The 22,170-nt window shown below is 34.9% G+C and overlaps 1 protein-coding gene across 21 annotated transcripts in view; it reads right to left on the reverse strand.

Annotated features, from left to right (window-relative positions):
- WDPCP (WD repeat containing planar cell polarity effector) overlaps positions 1-22,170 on the reverse strand; it is a 721,268-nt gene that overhangs the window by 364,347 nt on the left and 334,751 nt on the right. For 20 of the 21 annotated variants that reach the window (NR_148705.2, NR_148704.2, XR_007076380.1 and 17 more), the window contains 5 exons: positions 8,951-9,035; positions 3,542-3,589; positions 2,637-2,681; positions 1,012-1,082; positions 699-758 (listed from right to left, as the gene is read on the reverse strand). Coding sequence is in view for 17 of the 21 variants with exons in the window: in XM_047444629.1 (XP_047300585.1) it covers positions 699-758; positions 1,012-1,082; positions 2,637-2,681; positions 3,542-3,589; positions 8,951-9,035 (309 nt within the window). In the remaining 4 variants the exon portion in view is untranslated. Of the gene's footprint in view, positions 1-698; positions 759-1,011; positions 1,083-2,636; positions 2,682-3,541; positions 3,590-8,950; positions 9,036-16,016; positions 17,428-22,170 lie in introns of those variants that run through there. The other variant, XM_047444630.1, reaches the window with a different exon arrangement.

Genomic DNA, 22,170 nt, shown 5'->3' on the forward strand with positions numbered 1-22,170 from the left:
GTTCTGAATCTACCCATTCAATACTTAGATCACTTGTCTAGGCCTTAACACTATTGTCCAATAGAACTGTCTGAGATGGAAATGTTCTGTATCTGCACTGTCCAATATGATAACATGTGGCTATTGAACACTTAAATGCGGGTAGTGCAACTGAAGAACTGAATTTTTTATTTTATTTAATTATTCAGTCACATATGACTAGTGGCTACCATAGTAAACAGCACAGCTTACAGGGTTCAAAAAGTAAGACTAAATGTCTTGTTATGATAGGTCTAACTGTATGTAGTCGGCTTGTTGATTTGCATAAGCAATGATATTCACAAATGCTTACAAGAGTAGTATGCCAAAAAGTCTTTTGCCCTGTGGTTTCATCTTCACTCAAAAATATTATTAAATCTATGCCAGCAAACATCTACTACAACATTCAGACAACTTCAAACAAAAAAATACAATATGAAAAGATTTTTATTAGTGTTTGTATGTCAGTACAACTATACTGGTTAATACTGATTAATGAGCCTGGTGGCCTGTGTCAATCTGTCTAATGTTAGCTCTAGAACAACTAGAATTCAAACTATGAAATAACCACTGCTAAAAAAGTTTTTGTCCATTACCTAACATAACACAAGAATACCAATTACTACATAGTTTTCAGCTCCATTGGTTAAACACTGCAAAGGCTTGTCAAATCATTTTACCTGACAGACATATTTGTTCTTCCATTTGCTCAGCACACACCGACTGTTTTGCATCAGCTCCTGAAGCACAACAGAAAAAGAGAGAGCGTAGTTGGCTGTACACATTGTCATTATCAGTTAAAGTGCCTCTGATTTGCAAGCAAAAAAAGATCAACATGCCACACAAAGATCCAACTGTTTTGGAACTCATCACTGGACAAAAGCAAAGCTATCATCACCATGAGAGTTGATCCTTTATGAAAATTAAAGCTGTTGAAAGATGTTTTAAAAACAGATTTGTTTGTTGCCATTTTTGAAACTTTTTGAAAGATACCTCCAACTCTTTGAGCGAGTCTCGGAGTTTTTCTGGGCGTCTGTTTTTGAGCGTCCAAGGATAATCTCGTGCTGGCAAATAAAACATGTACTACAGTTAGTTAAACAAGATTTAAAAAGGAAATTCTGCTTAGCAGTGTGCCTTAGGGAGATTAAAATAAAACACCTCTATAATCGAGAGGAAGTGGGCTTCATTTCCATCATCAAATGACAGCCTTATGAAAGGCTTTGTCATAGGAACAGGATTTTTACCACAAAACAATCTCCCTAACCATAATTTTACAATGACAACCAACAAGGCTTGGAGAATCCCTGGGAAAGTTTGCTAGGCTTGTGAATCTAGTAATTCATGGTAAATGATGTAGTCTTTACTAACTTTTTCATGTAAATAATTAAATGTTCAATCCAAAAGAAATTCCAAATTCTACAAGTAACCTACTCAGACCTAAAAAAAAAAAAAAATTATCATGAGTAAATGAATATAATGAGCAAAGAAATAAAATGAAAAGAAATAAAAAATAAAACTGTATGTAAAAATATATGAAGTTAAGCATTAAAGCTCCACATTTTAAAACTATGGAAAAATCTGAGGGAAATCCAAGTTTTAACAAATTAGGCCCTAATAGTGCTCTTTTTAATTTAAAACAGTTATCTTTAAAGTATACACCACAATTGAATAATGATAAGCCTTCGTTTTGCTTTAAATAAATTAAGTGAAGGATAAAATTATTTAGTAGAGTCATGTTAGCCTAAAATAAATTAAAAATAGTTCTGTTTAAAATAATTTAAAAATGTTAAACATGTCTATTTTATCAGAAAAATGAATTCATCTTTGGATTCTCCTCATTAATAATTCTAAATGAGTTATATGTGTATTTGTGCTTACATGTGTGTTATATGTACATATACATATACATAGTATACATAGATACTTAAATTTAAGAGTAGAATTGCTATACATCTTATTTCAGCAAATGAATTTGGGTCTATAAACAATTTTGATGTAGAACGTATATGCAAATTTTTAAATCTGTGTTGCAGCTACTAATACATTATTTTTTAAAATTAAATGTCAGTTCAACCATTTAAAAAACAAGAGAACAAATGGGATTTTCAGCTCTAGCTATAATCCAAAAAAATTTTAATGTATGTTTAATTCTATGTCATTAAAACCGTATTACATTGTCGCCATAATATATACAACATACTTATATACTGGAGATCAGAAAAGACTAGAGTGAATAAAATGCTAATACTGATATTACAAATACTATTTTCTTAAAAATGGGTAAGACATGTTAACAATTTAGGCAAAGTATGAATAATTAAATGTTACTATCAGAATTTAAGCTTGGTATAATTATCCTAAATATACTAATATATAGTTCATTATGAAATTTTATGTTTATATAAACAAACATTTTATCAAAATTGAATAGAGATTTCAACGATCTAAATTAGAAAGGCCTGACAAATACAATTGTTACTTATATGTTTATATTCCTAAGTAATAGGAATTTAAAAAATTTGGAGGGAATAAAGTTTCCTCTTTGTTCCAGATGAATATTTTATAATACTGAACTTTACAGTTTTATAATAATTCCAAAAAATATAAAGTAAGCTTACACTCTGCCAGCTTCTGCTTCTTTTCTAAGTTACCATGCTCTGTCGCTGATATTGTGGCAGAAGGGATAGAAAGAAAAAAACAAAAGTAGAATTTATTTTTATTATAATGCCTTGTATTTTAATATGTACATGTATAAGGTATTATTAACATTACATGCATTATTGAGATTAATAAATTATGCTTAGGTTCTAAAAGGACAGTTGAAAAAAATGCCATAATTTGGATGTTTTCATTTCATAGAGATATTTCCTAAATTTGCAGTGAAAGGGCACAAAAGGTGGACCAATATCCTGAGCTTCCAATCTGATCAGATAGGAAAGAGAACTGCAACAGAGCCCAGAACAGAAGCTGCTTCAGTCTGTCATCAGAACCATGAAGTCAGCCTATTAACCACTAAGCTAAGCACACAGGCTGCTCACACAAGCCCACTTCAACGGAGACCAAAACAGGAAGTAACTCTAGCTAGAAAGACCTTTTGGCCCATCATAAAACTTCTGGGATTAGCAGGATTAATCAGATAAAGAAAATTGATCATTCACTCAGAAATGCCTATTTCAGATATCAGGTGAGGATCCAGGAGGCCAGCATCAGTAGGACCCATGCATTAACAATGCCCTCTACTGGGACACTGATAAATAAATGTGAATAGACTGCCCTATAATCAGCCTGATCAGCAGTAAAATGAAAATTTTCATGTCTTTCTACAGCATTTTCTCGATACTACTTTATTTTATATAGAACAGATAGATATCAACCTCAGCATTTTTCTAAAGAACTGAAGGGACTTTTCTTAAAATTCTAGAATTTATCTAAAGCTCATGAGAAGAGAGCTTTTAATGGTCAGTATTTCATGGTTTAGAATATTTAGTTAATAAAAATTAATTGCACAGAATAGGTACTTTACCTGGTGGATCTTTCTTGTCATAATACTGGTAGATCCCAATGTCTCTATCTATAGAAAGGAAGAAATAACATTAAATTATGATTTAAAAGTCCCAGAGAATAAGAAGCCAAGCCATACTATATTAGGGGAAGGATAGGGAGAAAAGCAGAAACAGTCTCCTTATGCTACTAGAAATAAAATGGCTCAAAAGCATCCGGAGATGAGTTCGTCTATTCTAGGGATATGCAGAAACTGGAAAGTTTATCAATCTAATGAGAAAAGATTTACACAAAACTAGAATGGCATGAGAAAAAGATTAGTAAAGAACTGAAATCAAGAAACACCAAGTTTTCTCTTTCACACATCCTCTGATATTTTTCACAGGGTTCTACCAAAAGGAACTGCCACTAAGCAATGCCAGATGAAATCAGTGGATGGAAGAAAATGCCCTGTTGGATTCTGAGCTGTGGTTTTCTTTTCTCCAATTTAGCTCAAGAGTCTAGTTCCTATTCTACGGCATTTGGGAGAAATCCACAGACGAGAAAGGGAAGATTAGAGGAACGTTTGGATACATTATTATCTGAAACTTGTTTAGACAGGGAAAACCCCTTCTAAACCTAAATTCGGACACTTTGCTGGGGCTACCTAAGAAGCAAAGCTGGGCTTCCCAGATGTCAAGATTCATTTAACCAAGGAATTATTCCAGTTTAAATATAAGAGAACAAAATAATTTTGTCCATTTTCTTCATATCTATGAATAATAAAATATTTCTTTCATTGAAGGAACATTTGTTTTCTTCAATGCAAAATAATTCTCAGTTACTAACATAAGGATAAAGAGTATACAACTGTTTCTAAAGAGGTGGAAGCAGTACAGGCTGCCCCCTAGTGACTGACTGCTCCAGACTTTCTCAAACTGAATGATAAAACTTCAAAAAAAAGTATTACTGCTATAATTAACTTTTCAAATATAGTCTTTCAAAATAGTCAATTGCGTGTACTTGTTAAAGCTCTATTTTATTCATCATGCCATTAGTAGAGGCATACAATTTTAAAGAATGCAGTTTATGTCTACTGGTTAGACTGAATATATCTAATAAGGATTTATTGCGAAAAATCATGAGTAGGACTTCTTGGATACTGATATTTTATTTGTTGTCCTGGATGGTGATTTTATGGGTGTTTTCATATTCTGATGGTTCACAACATAATCTTATGATCTTTACACTTTTCAGTACATATATTATACTTCAATAAAAAGGCTTTTTTAAAAAATCTAAGAACCACAGGCACTACATATGCAGACAATATCTCCATTAAAATATTCCACCCTATAATTATACTCATCATTCCATACATCCAAATATATATCATAACTCTAGAATAGAACTATGAAGATCATAAAGAATCCTGAATTATGTGCACAAGTCTGACCTACTGCATCTGGCCCAGAGTGGAAACTGTCAAAACACAAGCAGAATAAGGAGAGCATCCAGTTAAGAAAACCTGCCCTACAGTGGGTACCAGAGCTGGATGGGGAAGGTGTCCATTCAGAGAGTCAGCCTGACATGGTGTGTTAGAACTCCAGCAGGGTAAGAACACTCACATGAAGCAACAGCCTGGTGTAGGGTATTAGAGGCTAAACAAGGTAAGGAGGACATTTACATATGGGGGCAACCCAACATGGTATATCAAATCCCACATGGGGTGAGAAGGGTATCTATACAGGGAAGGAGTAGCCACAGAGATAGGGGATTGACTGCAAACAGGGTGACTGATAAGTCAATAAATAAAAAATAGGGGAGCTCCAGGTTTCCCACTGTCTGAGAAGAAAAATACAAATATGGAAAGGGAGAAAATTAGAATGAACCCTATGGTGGTAGATAGGAATGAGATGTACCAATGTAAACTCATGGTTTCAATATAGAGAGATAGATACAGAAATAAATATGGATGTAAATATGTGTGTATACATAGATACATACATTCTGCAAGCTCTGTCCACTGAGAGGGCCTGGGAGCAGCAATGTTCCAATAATGAGTGCACCTAAAGCAGAACTTGGCTTCTAGAACCCTTGCCCTCTAAAAGGAACAAAGCTCCTTAGAAGAGTGACTGATTCCTAGGCTAGGGAAAGGAAATTACAACATGAGTCTGGAACATTTGTTGTACCAGAAAGAATTAAAGTGCTCAGATTTTGACAGGGACATGTCAAAAAGACACAGAAGCCAGCTTGAAGAGGGTCCCTCTGGCCACATCAGGGACAATTTAAACATCAAAATACATAATGAAATAAAATAATGATATGACTATAACAACTCCATAAAGTGGAAAACTTGAGTCCACAGAGATAAAATAAATTGATCATATATAATAATATATTTAAAGCATGAGGAACAGGATATTTACATAATTTCAAGGTATTTCCCTATGAAATACTTACTAATCACAAAGAAGAAAGTAACTTTGCAGTGGAGAAGCCGAGCAGACACTATCTTATCAGGTAATCATGAATATCATCAGGAAAGGGACAAATTGAAATTATGCACCACCTGATAGGATGCATTGAAATGCATAACCTGAATCTAATTGTGAGGAAATTTCAAATATAACCAAATTTACAATCATCCTACACAATAACTCACCTAATATCTTCAAAAATATTAAGGTCATGAAAATGTAAAAAAAAAAAAAAAGGCGGAGGATGAAGAATAACCCAGAATGAAGGACACTAAAGAAACATAACAATGCAATATGTTACTGTGAACAAAAATCCTTTTCCTAAAAAAAGAACAATGATGGGACAATTGGTAAACTGGTCCATTTAGACTGAAGTACATCATTGTTAATTTCCTGATTTCAATGGCTTATACAGTAATGCAGGACAAAATCCTTTTTGTAGGACATATACATGAATGTATTTGGAGGTGATAAAGCATCAGGCTACAACTCTCAAACGGTTCAAGAAAAAAAATTCTCTGTACTGACAATTTTTCTATAAGTTTGTGATTATTTCAAACATTTAAAAAATAAACATCAAGCATAATGAGAGCACATTAACAGGGTTACTAATTTAGTCTAGATAGCAGGAAAGGCTTCTCTAAGTGACTTAATAAAGCCGAGCCCTAAAGAAGTAGGATTCATAAAAGGTTAAATAGAAGAATGTCCCAATAGAGAGAATGGGTAGGCCCTGCAAAAATGCAGTTGGGGTTGAAGACTATTCTCATGGGGCTACTGTGCACCACTGTGTGATTCTTCTCTAAAAACCATTCACTGACTCAGAATAGAAGGAACAGGGACAGAAAACTTGAGGACACATGGAGGGACAGGGAAGGAATTTGCTGGGCATGAACAGAGGACAAGGGGTAAAAGGGGATCAAGATGGAATAGCTCAGACTTCCAACCATGGGGTCCAAGCTGGGTAGGAAGATAAGTGAAGAAGACCCAATGGACTAGGAGAATGTCAAGTGATTAAAAGGTTGACCATCTCAAAGAAGCATAAAACCTAGTTATATGAGAATAAGGGAATAATATGAAAAATGGGCAATTATGATTAAAGAAGAAAACATTTCAATTAAAAATTTTGACCAGCAGTAAAATAAGTTCACTTTGGGATTTCTTTTTTCTATTTTCTGAGATTTCTTTTACACTTTTGAATTTTGAATTTTTTCTGCAACATATTTTTAATTTCCAAGAGACCTGTATAACTTCAAATGTTTTCTGAAGCTTCTGTTTTTGTTTCTTGCTTCATGGATTTAGTATTTTTCCTTAGGTCTCTGTTGTACTTTTTTCCCCCCTTCCTACATTATCTCTGTTTCTTCAGAGACCCATTCACCTATTCATTTTGTTTTCTTTCCTGTTGAAGATATTCCTCAAATATCTAGTGATCCTTAGTTCTCTGTTTGTATTTACAAGTGAGGCACTAAAAAACTGATTGGAAGCCCTGTGTACACACATAGAGCTTGCCAACTGGTGGGCTTCACTGATCAGCCAAGGACTGGGGTATTTCACCAAAGGACTCCCTCAAACGTCTATATACTAGGTCTTCTTTCTCGGGTCTTGCAGTCATTCCAGAGAGGAATATCTCAAGCTCCTTCTTTCTTGGAAAGTGTACAAATAGGTATGACATTCTCAGAACCAAGTGGGATTAAGAAGACCTCACCCATCAGTATGTAGGCTTCCTTCCATTTCGTGCCTGTTTTCAGTTCAGCAGGTCGTCTTCTACTGCCCCTGGTGTTCCCAACTTTAGAGCCTCCTTAATTAAATATTTCCACAGCATGAAAGGTATCTCACAACTTTTTCTGCAAACTTTCATGTCCCTTTACTGTCACTCTGATGACACATACCATCTTCTACAATATCTGGCTCCTCAAATTTCTGTATCTTTCCAGAATTTTGAGTCATAAATTGGCTGTCATTGGAACTCTCCTCTGCAGGCAATTTATATTCAGGTTTTTCATCTCTGCTAATTCCTCTTTCCCTCCCATCTTCCAAAATTTGTCCAATTTCAGTTGTCCCCTCTGTCGAAAGGGTTTATACCTTCTTTATTTTTATTCCTTTATTGGCATCTTAGAAGAGTTTTAGGAGGGAGCAAACAAATGTTAAATCTACTTTAACTGAAATTTCAATCTTTATACATTTTAAAGCAGATAAACTTGATGAAAATATCAAAGTCATCCTTAATTCTATATTTAATATGAAGAAACAATACTTTGTAAGGTAAATCATTTTCTTAGTAATGATGCTTAAAAGATATAAATAATATTCTTCTCCTAAATACAAGTGTTACTTCGTATAAAGATTTTTTAAAGATATTTCTTATAAAGTACACTGTATCGTATGTTAATAAGCATTGTTAAAACACACATATTATTCTCCCCCCCCAAAATTGTGAAAAACAAAGAACATGAAAATAATCGTACATCTTACCTATATGTTTGAAATGTTATTTTAATATCAAATAGAAATGCCTTTACCATTAGCTATCCTGTAAATATTTATGAATATAAATCTTATTATGAAGAATCCCAGAAAAAAAATTGAATATGTATCTTTTTTTTTTACCATTCAATAAATTTTATTATTTATTTATTATTTTAGAGGCAGGGTCTCGCTCTGTCACCTGGGCTAGAGCATAGTGACACGATCTTGGCTCACTGCAGCGTCAACCTCCTAGGCTCGTGTGTATCTTAAGAGAGAACAAATATTAAGCCAATAAGATTAATTTTCAAAACTGAAAACCTAACTCAAGCTGTAAATATTGTTAGTAAGAGTAATTAAAAGGAATTATTTTCCATTAACCAATTTTTCATTAAGAATAAAGAAAGAATGCAACTCCAGCTGGAGAATTCAGGCTCTAACCTTTGCTAGTACTTATTTATAATGGTGTAACATATTTGAAAAATATTGAAATTAATCCAGAGCTCATTTACCCGCAATGTGTAAGGTATTCTTCAAAGACCACAGGTGCAGTTCAGTCAAGCAGAAAGACATCTGATGGCAGAAGGAATCTCTATCCTGTTTAAAAAATAATTAAAAAGAGGTGCCAATTAATTATCTTCTATTGCCAATAAAACCAAGATACCTTAGAAATAGTAAAAAGAATCATTCGCCACAACTGTTATTTGAAATATGGCCCATTAGAATAAACATACTCTAGTGTATCCTTGGTTAACCATCCAGAAATAAACTCTAGAAAGAGGAAAAATACACTTCTTTTCCTGGATTTAGTATGTCATCACATTGAGAAATGTGGTAAGAAGAATATATATAGTATTTGGGTTTTCAATAGCATATGTTTGGTTAAGGCTCTGAGTATATTTAGAATTATTTAGTATTTAAGCATTTTTTTAAGTTTTATTTTAAGGAAAGGAAACATCTGTTGGTAGTTATTAAGTACGAGCACATTTTGTGGTGCATTTTTGGTATATAAAGCAAATATTTACAATATCCTACATACAAACAGGCTAATTAAAGTGGAATTTGCAAGGTAAATGGTATATAGTTACTATTATACTATTATAAGAAACATAATTACTTAAAAGTAAACTCTGAAACCACATTAGCATTCAACTTAGTATGTTAATCTGCATGTCATGATGGATCCAGATATTTTATTCTATGGGGTTTTTTTTTTTGAAAAAACAAAATGGTAATAATATACATCCTGTCTTCCCCCTAGCAGGGGCTAGGGATGGACACTATGAATACTTTTTTTTTTTAATCAAGTACTACCTCATCGATTTAGACTGATTGGGAGAAGGCTAGTCTGCATTAGAAAAAAGGTCAACATTTTACAAAAGTTTGAAAGGAATTTATATAATTTTCAAATGTTTGCTTGGAAATAAACATAGTACTATACTGTATTTATGTTATACTACATATTAGAAATATATACAATAATTTAAACTATGGACATTTTCTTTATAGAATCAGGAAAGAAATGTTCTTTCCAGTAAACTTCCGAATGACAAAGTTTGAAAAATATTTTAAGACATATTTTAATGGAGGAAAAATCCTTCAGCTTCTTTAACATTAGGAGTGACTAAAAATATTTCCCATAGTATCCATATGGGTGATAATCTAAAATAATTTCAGACATAGTACAAACTTCCTCGGCCCGCCCTTCATCCTTACATTTATTTGACCTCAATGCACTTACAATCAAGAAACAGATGCATGTTGAACTAATGAGATATAGTATGCTACGGACTGAAATGGCAGAGTGAAAAATGTGGCAGCACACAAGAGGGGCCCAATCCTGCCTGAACAGCTGGGCTGTGAGAAAGCTCAGACAAGTTGTGAAACGTTAGTGGGTCCTCAAAGAAGGATAAGATTTCACCAGATGATGATGATGATGATGATGACGACGACGACGACAATGATGATGACGATGATGATGATGATGGAGAAAAAGATGAGGAAGAAAATGATGGTGATAACAACAGATAACACTTACTTGTTCCAAACATTTTACATGTATTAACTCTCTTAATCCTCATAGCTACTCTTTGAGGTAATACCATCAGCATTCCTGTAATGAGGAAACTTAGGCACAGAGTGGTCACATAGCTAGCAGGTGGTGGAGGCAGGCTTTGGATCTACACAGACTAGCTCCGGAGTCTGTTTGCAACCACAGTACTCTACCGTATTGGGGTAGGCAGAGTTGTGGGAGGGAGTATATACAGATGTTTGAGTAAAAAGATGGCATGACCCGGCCAGGCGCGGTGGCTCATGCCTGTAATCCCAGTACTTTGGGAGGCCGAGGCGGGGGGATCACAAGGTCAGGAGATCGAGACCATCCTGGCTAACACGGTGAAACCTCGTCTCTACTAAAAATACAAAAAATTAGCCGGGCGTGGTGGCGGGCGCCTGTAGTCCCACCTACTCGGGAGGCTGAGGCAGGAGAATGGCGTGAACGCGGGAGGCGGAGCTTGCAGTGAGCCGAGATCGCGCCACTGCACTCCAGCCTGGGCGACAGAGCGAGACTCCGTCTCAAAAAAAAAAAAAAAAAAAAAGATGGCATGACCCAAGTATGACAGTAGATTAAAGTGCACAGTGGATAGTGATAGGTGAAGTAGGAAAGGGTAAGGAGGAAACAGGCTACAATAGTAAATTTTGGGTTGATCTGAATTTACTTTCTTCCGTGCATTAAATGCCTTTAAAGCTAAGAGATGAAATAAGGAACCCCTCAATCCCCAGATCTGCCCTGCTGTGCCTAGATGCTGGCTGCCATTGTATACAGGTATGAAGTTGGAAAGCTAGTGGAATGCATTACTAAGAGAAAGAATGCAGTTCATTATCAGCAAGCAGTAGAGAAAAAGGGATATTAAACTAGTTACTAATTTTTCAGTTCAACTGAGTATTATCTTTCAGTATTATCACTTTGGAAGTGACTCTAGTAAGCCTACTATTACTCAAAATGTTTCCAATGCAGTGTTCTTTGGAATTGCTTTCAGTTAGTTTTATGAGGCTTATTTTAGAATTGTCATCTTACAGTTAAGTTTTTTTCTTAACTAAAATACTTACTGTATTAGAATAAGTAAACTGCAGACTTTTCATATGGAAATGTGAGGACTGGAATGTTTGTTTTAAAATATCAGTTAGTGAATTAAATATTTATTTTGCATCTATTTAGCTTAATGTGTGCATTCTAGAATCTGCCTGCCTCTTTTCTAATTTCTCAGCTTAGTAGCTAACTTGGACTAATTACCTAACTTCTCTATTTCTAAGAGTCCCCAGCTATAAAATGGGTATAATAAAGTACCTACATCAGGACTGCTTTCAAGGTACACTTACTCAATTACCTTAACACTGCAGTTGCTGCTTGCTATTACTCAGTATATCCATCACTACGCAAATTTGTATGGAAAAAAATAAAATAATAAATATGATCTCTGACCTTATATGGTAATCTCACAGTATGAAATAAATAAGTACTAAGCACAACAGGAGGTTTATGAAGGAAAAACATCCAGAAGTGGAGAAGTTACTACACAAGAGAAGGTATTTGAATTAGGACATGCAAATTGGTTAATATTCCATTGCAAGTAAGAAAGAAAAGAGATGGTAAAACAGGTGTATACTTCCTCTGACATTGAGCATCAAAAGTCACCAACTTCTAGACTATACTAGAAAAATAAAAATCATATTCTTCAATTTAGTTTTTATTCAGATACCAGTAATACTAATTTATGACAATCTGCATAAGACAAGGCTGAAGTTTAGCTGTTTGTTGCTATATAAAAATGTCTTATGTAAATTAAATACAGATAAAATTTTATAGATGAAACCAAAAGACTGCACCTTTACTTACATATCAAAAGAAGACAACACTTGAAATTCTGTATTTCAGTTTAAGTCAATTTAGTAATAATTTGTCAAAACTTCCTCCTGATAACAGAACTGGAGAGTGTAGTGTAGTTTCCACTATAGTCTACACTGACTATTTCTACGAGGCAGAAAAACACCTTTTACTTGAAAAACTGATAGGTCCACTCCCCATATCTTCACTAAGTTTGAAAGTCCTAAATTAATCAAAAATTACAGTGTTTCAAGGAGAATAAGCAAAATGAGATCTGTGAAGAGCTTCAAAGCCAAGAGTCAAACCATTAATTCTCTACATTTGAACATGGGAAATCCTGAGCATAGTACAGTATAGAGTCTATGACCTGGACTTGTCTTCCAGCTCAGCACCAAACGATCCATATCTAGGACCAATGGTGGTGGGAGGACTGAGAAAAATGTACAAGGTATTTCTCAAAATGCTCTGATGTACAAACAACACTGCTCTAGTTTCCCATTAAAAAGCACAGGACAAAAGAAGGAGAGAGACATTCTTCTCCTACTTTAAAAATGACCCTTTTGTGGCCCCACAGGGAATCTATCATATAAGGATGGGGAAGCAGGCCAGGCGCAGTGGCTCACACCTGTAATCCCAGCACTTTGGGAGGCTGAGGCAGGCGGATCACTTGAGACCAAGAGTTCGAGACCAGCCTGGCCTTCATGGCAAAACCCCATCTCTACTAAAAATACAAAAATTAGCTGGGCATGGTGGAATGCACCTGTAATCCCAGCTACTTGGGAAGCTGAGGCAGGAGAATCTCTGGAACCCAGGAGGCGAAGGTTGCAGTGAGTCAAGATCATGCCACTGCACTCCAGCCTAGGTGACAGAGTGAGACTCCATCTCAAAAAAAAAAAAAAAAAAAAAGAATGGAGAAGTGGCTGCAGGAAGTGGTGTGCAGCAGAAAGTAAGCAGGAATGGTGAATGTGGTGGTATACAGACAAAGCAGAATCTGTATCCAGCAAAAGCAGACATGGGTGGTCAAGGAGTGCCCTGTATCATCTGAAGAAACAGCAGCAATAATTAGCAAGTATTGGGTACATCAATGAGAAGAAAATGGCCAATGTCCATTAGTAGATAACTGGACTGGTTTGTGAACAAAATGTCAAAACTCTTGTGGATTCCCCAAGATCTGTGTGATTAAGGAGGGGGCTTTGCAAGTGGTCATGCATTAACAGGGGAGCGGGAGGAAGATAGTCAAATGTGGGTTATTCATCCTTCTTTTTTCCTTAACTTCAACTATCTGCCAAGAAAACCAGGTAAAACTAAAGAAAATCAATGGAGTAAATAAAACAAGTTTGTAAAAATCTTTAATAATAACTAGATGGGCAAGGTGGGAGAGGACCAAATCAACATCCTTTTTAGTCTTCAAGCATTATATGTCATGCAGGTTTTCTGAAAGACACAAGTTTTTTAAAGAGCTCTAAACATCTTGAATCTTACTCAAGTGTGCCACCAGTTAAAAAGAATGCTGGTAATTTCCTGGTTTGAAAAATACGCCTGGAGGAAGTAGTCAAGACTGAGCTTGTATTATTCAAATATTGTATTCATGCATAAATAGTTGTTTTGAAGGAGAGAAGAAAAGAATGTCAGAAGAATGCTGGATTCTGCATTTTCAGAAGGGGGTGCGGGCAGGGATTAAAAAGGTAGTGAAATAGTCAGGGGGCATCTACCAAAGTAAGCTGAGCAATGCTGCCCCACTCAGTGCCCTTGTACATTTCCCTGAGCAATATAACCCAATGCACATGGCATAGAACTGTAATAAAAGTAGCTGTACTGGGAGAAATTAATGAAAGAATGAAAGAATAAAATATATAGCAAGTTGTCCAACTATTAAATATTGAATCAGAAAAAGAATTATCCAAATGAAAATAGTAGAATGAAAAACCCAAACAAAAAATCACCCATAATGTAACTTCATTTATTTTTAAACACCTTTCTAACTTTTACAATTTCCTCTTTAATTACATAAGGCATTGATGACAGTCTCAGAAGGCCATTTTGAATCCAAGCTTCCTACATGAGACAATAAACAGCATGATTTAAATTGAGCTTCACATACATTTAGAATGACTGCTCTTTTTTATACAGGGGACAATCTATGATTGCCCAAATTTTGAGGACAGAGATGTAAGAATTCTAGAAAGCCCCTTTTCACTTTATACTTACATCCTTAAAAAATTTCAATTTTTAATACCTTCACTCCAATTTGGGTTACACTAGAGTAAATTAATATTTATTTGTCTTAAGAATAATTTTACCATATAGACTAAATTTTGAGAAAGTAACATGCAAAATAGAAATAGTTTCACTACTATACTGTTGATAATCTCCTTTTGAAAAATAAATGTTTTAGAAGTAGAGATTACTTGCCACTGAATAAATCTGCAAAATACCTGTACTCTGCCCGGGTAAAGTATGCTATGCAGTTCCCCGGTTTCTTAAGTCAGCTATTTTGGTAGCCATGGGAAGGACAGGAAGCTTGAGGGCAAAGAAAACCCAAATGTGAAACATGATAGCAAAGAAAGAATTAAGAAATAGAAGACATTGCTGTAGTTATAATAAGGATAAATGATAGCATGGCATCCATAAGACATTTAACATGGAGGTATATGAGCAGAAGACTGCAAAGAACCTAAGGTAAATAAGGAGACCTCAAGCTTGGACTAACCTATTGTACCCAAAGAATGGAGTACTAGAAACAATGGCTCATTTGTACCTCACAGGGCCTTATGAGATCTAAATACCAATTAAATATCACAATTTGAGCACTTTATGTATATGTTTACTGAGTCATAGATACAAAGTTTTATAGAATGGGCCTCTACTATCAAACACCATATAATCAGGGTAGCAGATAAAATAATCACAAAAACAATACGAAGTGTGTAGTAAGTGCTAATATGGTAACATACACAATGGGCTAGGGGGGTTCAAAGGGCATTTGAGGATTGTCAGATTTTGCTAGAGGGAAATAGATAAAAAGGAGGGAACAATACCCAAAAGAATAAATTAGAAAGATGCAAGGCTTATTTGAGGAATAATAAGCAATCTGGTTTGATGCACAGGTAGAAGAGATAAATCAGAGCCATAATAAGGAAGTCTTTGCCAAGCTCAGGAATTAGGACTTTGTATTTGCTAGGTAGCTAATTAGGAACAATGAAGTTTCTGATCTGGGAAGGTATTTTTAAAAAGAATAATTAATAGATCAGAATTATTGTTGGAAGATTAACTGGTGGGTAAAATATTGGAGGAGTGAAGGAAAGTTTGATATGAGTGACCTGTTAGAAAGGTATTAAAGGAACAGACAACACTAATATTCAGTAACAAGGACCTGAATTGGGGTGGTGGCAGCTGGAATATAACAAAAGAAAGGGATGTAAGTGATCTTGTAAAGAAAGAATCGACAGCATATGGGCACTGATGATTTGTAAGAGACAGTGTAAGGGAGTAAGAGAGAAGAATCTGGAGTGACCATCAATGGATGGGGATCTGGTTACTGCTCATATAGTGACCCTTGCCTTGACCATGCCGTCACTGAACAGGCATGCCTGCATCATCATGTGCCCAGTAAATGGGTACCAGTGCATTCCATCTGTTCACAATGACTGCCTCAACTACTGAACCCACACACATCAATGTTCCTAGCTACTAACCTGGCTACGTGGTCTCCTGTTTTACTTCTGCCTTGCCCCTCAGTTTGTAACTCTGGCTCTTCTTCTTAAACTGTGATTCAACTTCTTCATCCTGTCAAAGGACCCATGAATACTGTTCTTCTTGGCCACATCAAGTTCCCAGGAACCCCTTACCCAGACTTGTTCCCACCTAGTTGATCCTAGTTTCAAGGGCAGGACTTGGATTGAAACACACATAGAAACAGGTTAGTCTAGAAGAAGAGCAAGTTTTGTTAATAAGTTGAATTTTAGACTCAGTGGGAGATAAAGGTACAAGGAAATGCTCTGGGTAGATATGTCTAGCTGGTAGCTAGAAATACAGAAGAGAGGCCTGGACTACATAAAAACTACTTTGGAATTTTCTAAATAGAGAGTAAAGCCATTGAGTAAGATCACAGAAGAAAAATAAAGTCAAAGATAGATAGTCTGGTAATTCTCCAATAAAGAGTCAATTTAAAAGACAGACTAAGATAATATAGTGTCAAGAAAGCCTTGAAAGAGAAAATGGTGTGGGGGTGTGTGTGTGTGTGTGTGTGTGTGTGTAAAGTGGTTATACAGTGATCAAACTTGTTGGTTCTGAATTTTAATGCAGAGATGACCTCAATATGATTTAATGAGAAGTAATGTTTTATCAAGTACATAGAGGTTAAGTCTGCTAAAGGTGTGGTTCTACTGTTCTGAATGCTGGGCTGTAAGCCAAAAATGCCTTCATTCTAATCCTGCTATGACAAACTTACTCCAAATCATTTAACCTCTGCCTCAATTTCCCCACCTGCAAAAACAGGGATAATGATATTGACCTACATTTGTAACGGTGTTGTAAGGATTAACTAGTGTGTATAATGCTTTGAAGATTAAAAGTGCTGAGCATTATTAGTGAGTATTACATAACTAATTGTCTATAATACTAAAAATGTTATCCTTTAAGTTTAGGCAAATAGCAGTTATCAAATAAATGTTCTAGCTCCCTTAGTGACATTTAGCTTCTAATGTTAATATTAAATTTATTATTGAATGTGTATCTAGATCTATTTTACAACTGTCATCTCATGGCATATAAAGTTCTAAATCAGTTCAGAAGCCTAGGACACTTTTTCAACCTAAATATTAAATGTAAGTATTCAGGACATATTTATTTGAAAATGAGCACCCACTGCAAGTATTCAATAAATACCAAAGGTAGTATTTTTAATTATAAAATTTCAGATTTACCAAAAACACTAAGCAACTAAATAGAAGCAAAATGCAAAAAGCACAAAGCATTATGTTCAAAATACTATCTAAGTCCCTATTTTTAAAACAAGCTTTAGAACCTAAAAGTGTGCAAAAAATGAAGAGAGAAAGCCAGGTGCAGAGGCTTACATCTATAATCCAAGGACTTTAGGAGGCCGAGGTAGAAGGATTGCTCTAAGTCAGGAGTTCAAGATCAGCCTGGGCAACATAGTCAGACCCTGTCTCTACAAAAAATAAATAAAAATTAGGCAGGTGTGGTGGCACCTGCCTGTACTCCTAGCTACTCAGGAGGCTGACAGAGGAGGATGGCTCAAGACCAGGAGTTGGAGAGTGCAATGAGCTATGGTCCTGCCACTGCACTCCAGCCTAGATGACAGAGCAAGACCAAGTTTCAAAAAAACAAAAAACTTTTAAATGCATTAGGCCTCTGTCTGGTCCTTTGTTTGTTTCTTTCTTTTTTGGAGATGGAGTTTCACTCTTGTCAGCCAGGCGGGAGTGCAGCGGCGCGATCTCAGCTCACTGCAACTTCCACCTCCCGGATTCAGGCAATTCTCCTGCCTCAGTCTCCCAAGTATCTGGGATTACAGGCGTGAGCCACCACATAAGGTTAATTTTGTATTTTTAATAGAGACAGCATTTCACCATGTTGGCCAGGCTGGTCTCGAACTCCTGACCTCAGGTAATCCACTGGCCTCAGCTTCCCAAAGTGCTGGGATTCCAGGTGTGAGCCACCGTGCCTGACTGGTCTTTTGTTTCTTCTCAGGTTTTAAAATTACAAAAGCAACACATACTTATTGTTTTTTAAAAAATGCAAACATACAGAAGTATTTGATGTAAAAATTAATGTGTTCTCCTCCAAGCTGCCCTCCTCACTCTGAAGGAAGCCATTGCACAGTGTGGCATGCGGCCTTCCAGACTTTCTAAATGTACTTACAACACGTGCACACCCATACTGACTTGTTCATTTTGTGTTTTTATAAAGATAAAATTTTACTATATATACAACTTGCTTTGTTCACTGAACACCACATCATGGATACTCTGTTAGCATAAACAGATAGATCTACCTGATGTTTTAATAGCCACAATATGTTCAATTGAATAGTGACCATAATTGACTTATCCATTCTCTTAATAAATAACCATCTGTTTCTAATTTTTACCTTACAAATAATATAACCATGAAAATATACATACACACTTTACATTTTGATAGGTATTGCCAAATTAGCCTCCAAAATGATTGGTAAATTTACATTTCCACCCAAAACATGACTGTACTTTTTCCTATATCCTCAACAGCATGCAGCATTATCCAAGTTTTAAGTTGTTGCCAACCTGGTAGGTGAAAATTTATCTTGTAATTTTAAGTTTCATTTTTCCATTCATTAATGAAACCAAACATCTTTTCATGGATTTTTAAAACAATTTGTTCCCTCTATAAATTACCTGTTCCTATATTTTGCTCATCTTTCTATTAAGTTCTTTATCCCTATGTGTGTATGAATAATATTAATCCTTTGTTATGAAGTTTGTGCATGTTTAGTCATTTAAAATTTTTTTCACTAACATATATGAAGAAAATAAGAGAATGTAGAATCTGATTTAAAAAAAAAAAAACTGGGCATAACATAAAAAGCTCTTTAAACTCAATTAAGCTAGTGCTGTGCAAAGTGCCAAAGAGATTTAGACCCCAGCCAGACTGTGGTTCTTCACAGCTGCTAACCACTGGTCAGATGATGCTATTTCAACATGAAGCAAAAGGTGACAGATTTCTATGTTCCAAGATAATCTGTGCACCGTTCTTACTAAAAGAGGTTAGAACAAATTCTATGCCTCGAAAGAAAAGTAGGAATCCCTTCACTTTCATCAAAGAATTGTGGCAAAAATCTTTTAAAATCTTTTGTTTTAGTTAAATTTGGAAAATATTTCTCTAGGGCATTGTTCAAACGGTTTAATTCACTTAGTTAAATAGATCTTGTCAATTTAACATTTTCCGTATTATAAGCAGTTTTGACATTTAGACAATTTATCAATGGCTTCTTCATTGTGGTCTGCTTCCTCTTCTTTCTACTCATTACATGCAACAAATTAAATTTCACTAATATTTAAAGATCGGTGCTGACCTTTGCATAGTCATTTTCTAGGTTCCTATTAATACAAACATCTTGTTTGCTAATGCTCATTTTAAATATTTTGCTGCACACAATTTTCCATTATCCCAAAGAGACTTGTATCTAGTTGAAGTGCATTTTTTCCATGACCTCAAAAAATAATTGCAATAGTTTATATCAGGCATTGGGGGGAGGTATGCCTGCATAAGCAAATAATAATCATCATCATCATCACCTCTCACCACCTCCACTCAACACAGATACCTACTTTTCTGATCTTCAAAAATATGAACTTCATTCTTTTTAGGATGTACCTCAACCACAACAATAAAAGGACAAGGAAAACAGAAATGTTAGCAATGTAACAATGATAATTAATTCTAGATTAAAACTCTATAAATATAATTTTATGCCATACTTGAATAAATTGAAAAAACGTAACTTTGAAGAGAAAATAAATTGAATTTCAGGAATAACTCCTAAATAGCTAAAATAAAGGCAAGAGAACACTGAAATGCTCTTATCTAAACCAATGCTTAAATACCAAAATAATTTGTCAATTCAGGGTTATTGTTTTGAAAAGGTTAGAAATCAAAGACTGCTATGAAGTGAGCTCAAATGAAAAAAAAAAAAAACAGAAATCCTTTATCTACAAATAGAAAAGATAGTGGAAAATTTTGGAGTGGCCCGCAGCTATACCACCTCTACCTTGTCAGATTTCACTTGTCAACACTTTGATGACAGATTGCTACCCACTCCTCTGAAAAACAAACTCTAGTAACTGCTGAAAGAAATGGCTTCTTATAAAAAGTGAAATATCTCATGCAACTTGATAGTTGTATACTTTTAAATATTTCTTTTCCAAAAGAGACCTGAAAACCTTTTTTCTATGGCTTCTAGAAAAACTTAGAAGCTAAAGAACCCTCCTAACATGGGGAATAGAAACGTGGGTAACATTTTAAAATACCTACTAAATGCACTTTATATTCATTATTTCATTTAATCCTCACAAGAGCCTTCTGAAATTACGTACTAAATTGTGTGTGTGTGTGTGTGTGTGTGTGTGTGTGTGTGTGTGTGTGATGTATTTTATTCACATATTCTTAAAAATATTTTTCTGGGCAGGGAATAGCAGTTTCTCCAGAGTCCATGTATCTCCTCTCCCATAAATCAACTCTGAGAGACCCTAAACCCCTTAATTTATAAATATGGAAACTGAAATCTATGAGGGTAAAGTAATTTGCACAAATTCAATCATCTCATTAGAGGAACAATTAGGACTAAAATTTCTGTCCACAAATTATCTGTGCAGTGCTCTTTCAACTCTCTCTCCCTCTGCCTAAATGCTGTGCTAAATGGAGCCTTTTGACCCCTGAGACAAATGTCAGTTTAGACTTGTATAATTAATCCATGGAAAGGGATATGGATGGAAACTATCTTCTGACCAACTTTTACTTTAATTTACTTTGCTTAGAAAGCTCTTGGAGAAAGTTAACTGAATGACTAAGGAGTGTTTTAAATTAGTATATCAATAGTTTATAAGTAAATTGATGTATCTAAATATCAGATTAAATTTGATATTTCTTATGCCCTAAAGAATCTTCCCACTATTGCTTAGCAAACTTCACAGATGATATAAAAGTAAGCTCCAATATGAATTATTAATATTTATGGCCGATTGGTCAATAAATTAAGGTCTTCCTGTTAAGTTATTGTGTTACATCACAGAAGCTTTATTTCTATTTTGACTACCCTTATTTGGTAGTGGCACCCATTAAGTTCTCAGCCCCTTAGTCTTTATGACAAGTTCTTAATGAAATGTAAACAAGCCCTAAATAGTCACAATTTATAAGAATTCTGCAGTGAATTCTTTAATATTGTAATTGGATCTTCCTTCATACTCTTTCTTCCCTGATTGTTTGCTTTCAACTTTACTAACGGTTTGTCACAGTGTTCGTACTTACATAAAATTTTTAGTATTTTGTTTCAATGGTTGAATAGAGAACCAAAGTAGATAACTTAGGAAAGAACAGCCTTTTCTTATTGAAATGAAAGCCTGTGAATAAACCACCAAGGTCCCCTGAGAAGAGATCAATTTCGCCGTACTATATTTAACACAGGCATACATCATCACAGCTTAAAATGTTAATTCCCTAATATAGTAGGAAATTATTACCTGATATTTAAAAATCAGTAGAATAAAATAAGGAAGATTCTAGATTATGACCATGTTTTGCCCTAAAGCCCAAACAAGTTACAGATTAATAAAAAATGTTTCCTATGCTTTTTTAATTCTATATTAAGACATAGAAGAGTAAATGGAAAAACATATTTGAAAATTTGTGGCAAATAACTGTTCAATAAATGTGCTTCTCTTTCATGAACATTCAATATCCTTAAAATAATGAGTCTGATCTCAAAAATACCTACCTGAAAAAAAGGAGTTTCACTGGATATCATTTTATCTTCTAATTATTTTTAGTATGATTCAACCTACATTTACAAAGCATCTACTAAGTGCAACCACTGAGTGGCACCATGCTAGGCATTCACAATATGAAGTTAACAAACCAAAGAACTTGTTCTTGAGGATATCAAAACTTAGTGGGGAGCTTGGGATGGAGGAGAAAAATAATGAATACAATTACATCAGAGTATGGCAAATAAAACAGAACCATGTCCAGGAATTTAGTACAAAGAAGAGAGTTAAAATTTCTAGCATTTAACAAAATCTCTATCGCAATAAAAATAGAAATCATATATTCATTTTCAGAACCTGAAACTTCCTT

Source organism: Homo sapiens, chromosome 2 (assembly GCF_000001405.40).
Source record: "Homo sapiens chromosome 2, GRCh38.p14 Primary Assembly".
NCBI classification, from domain to species: Eukaryota; Metazoa; Chordata; class Mammalia; order Primates; family Hominidae; genus Homo; species Homo sapiens.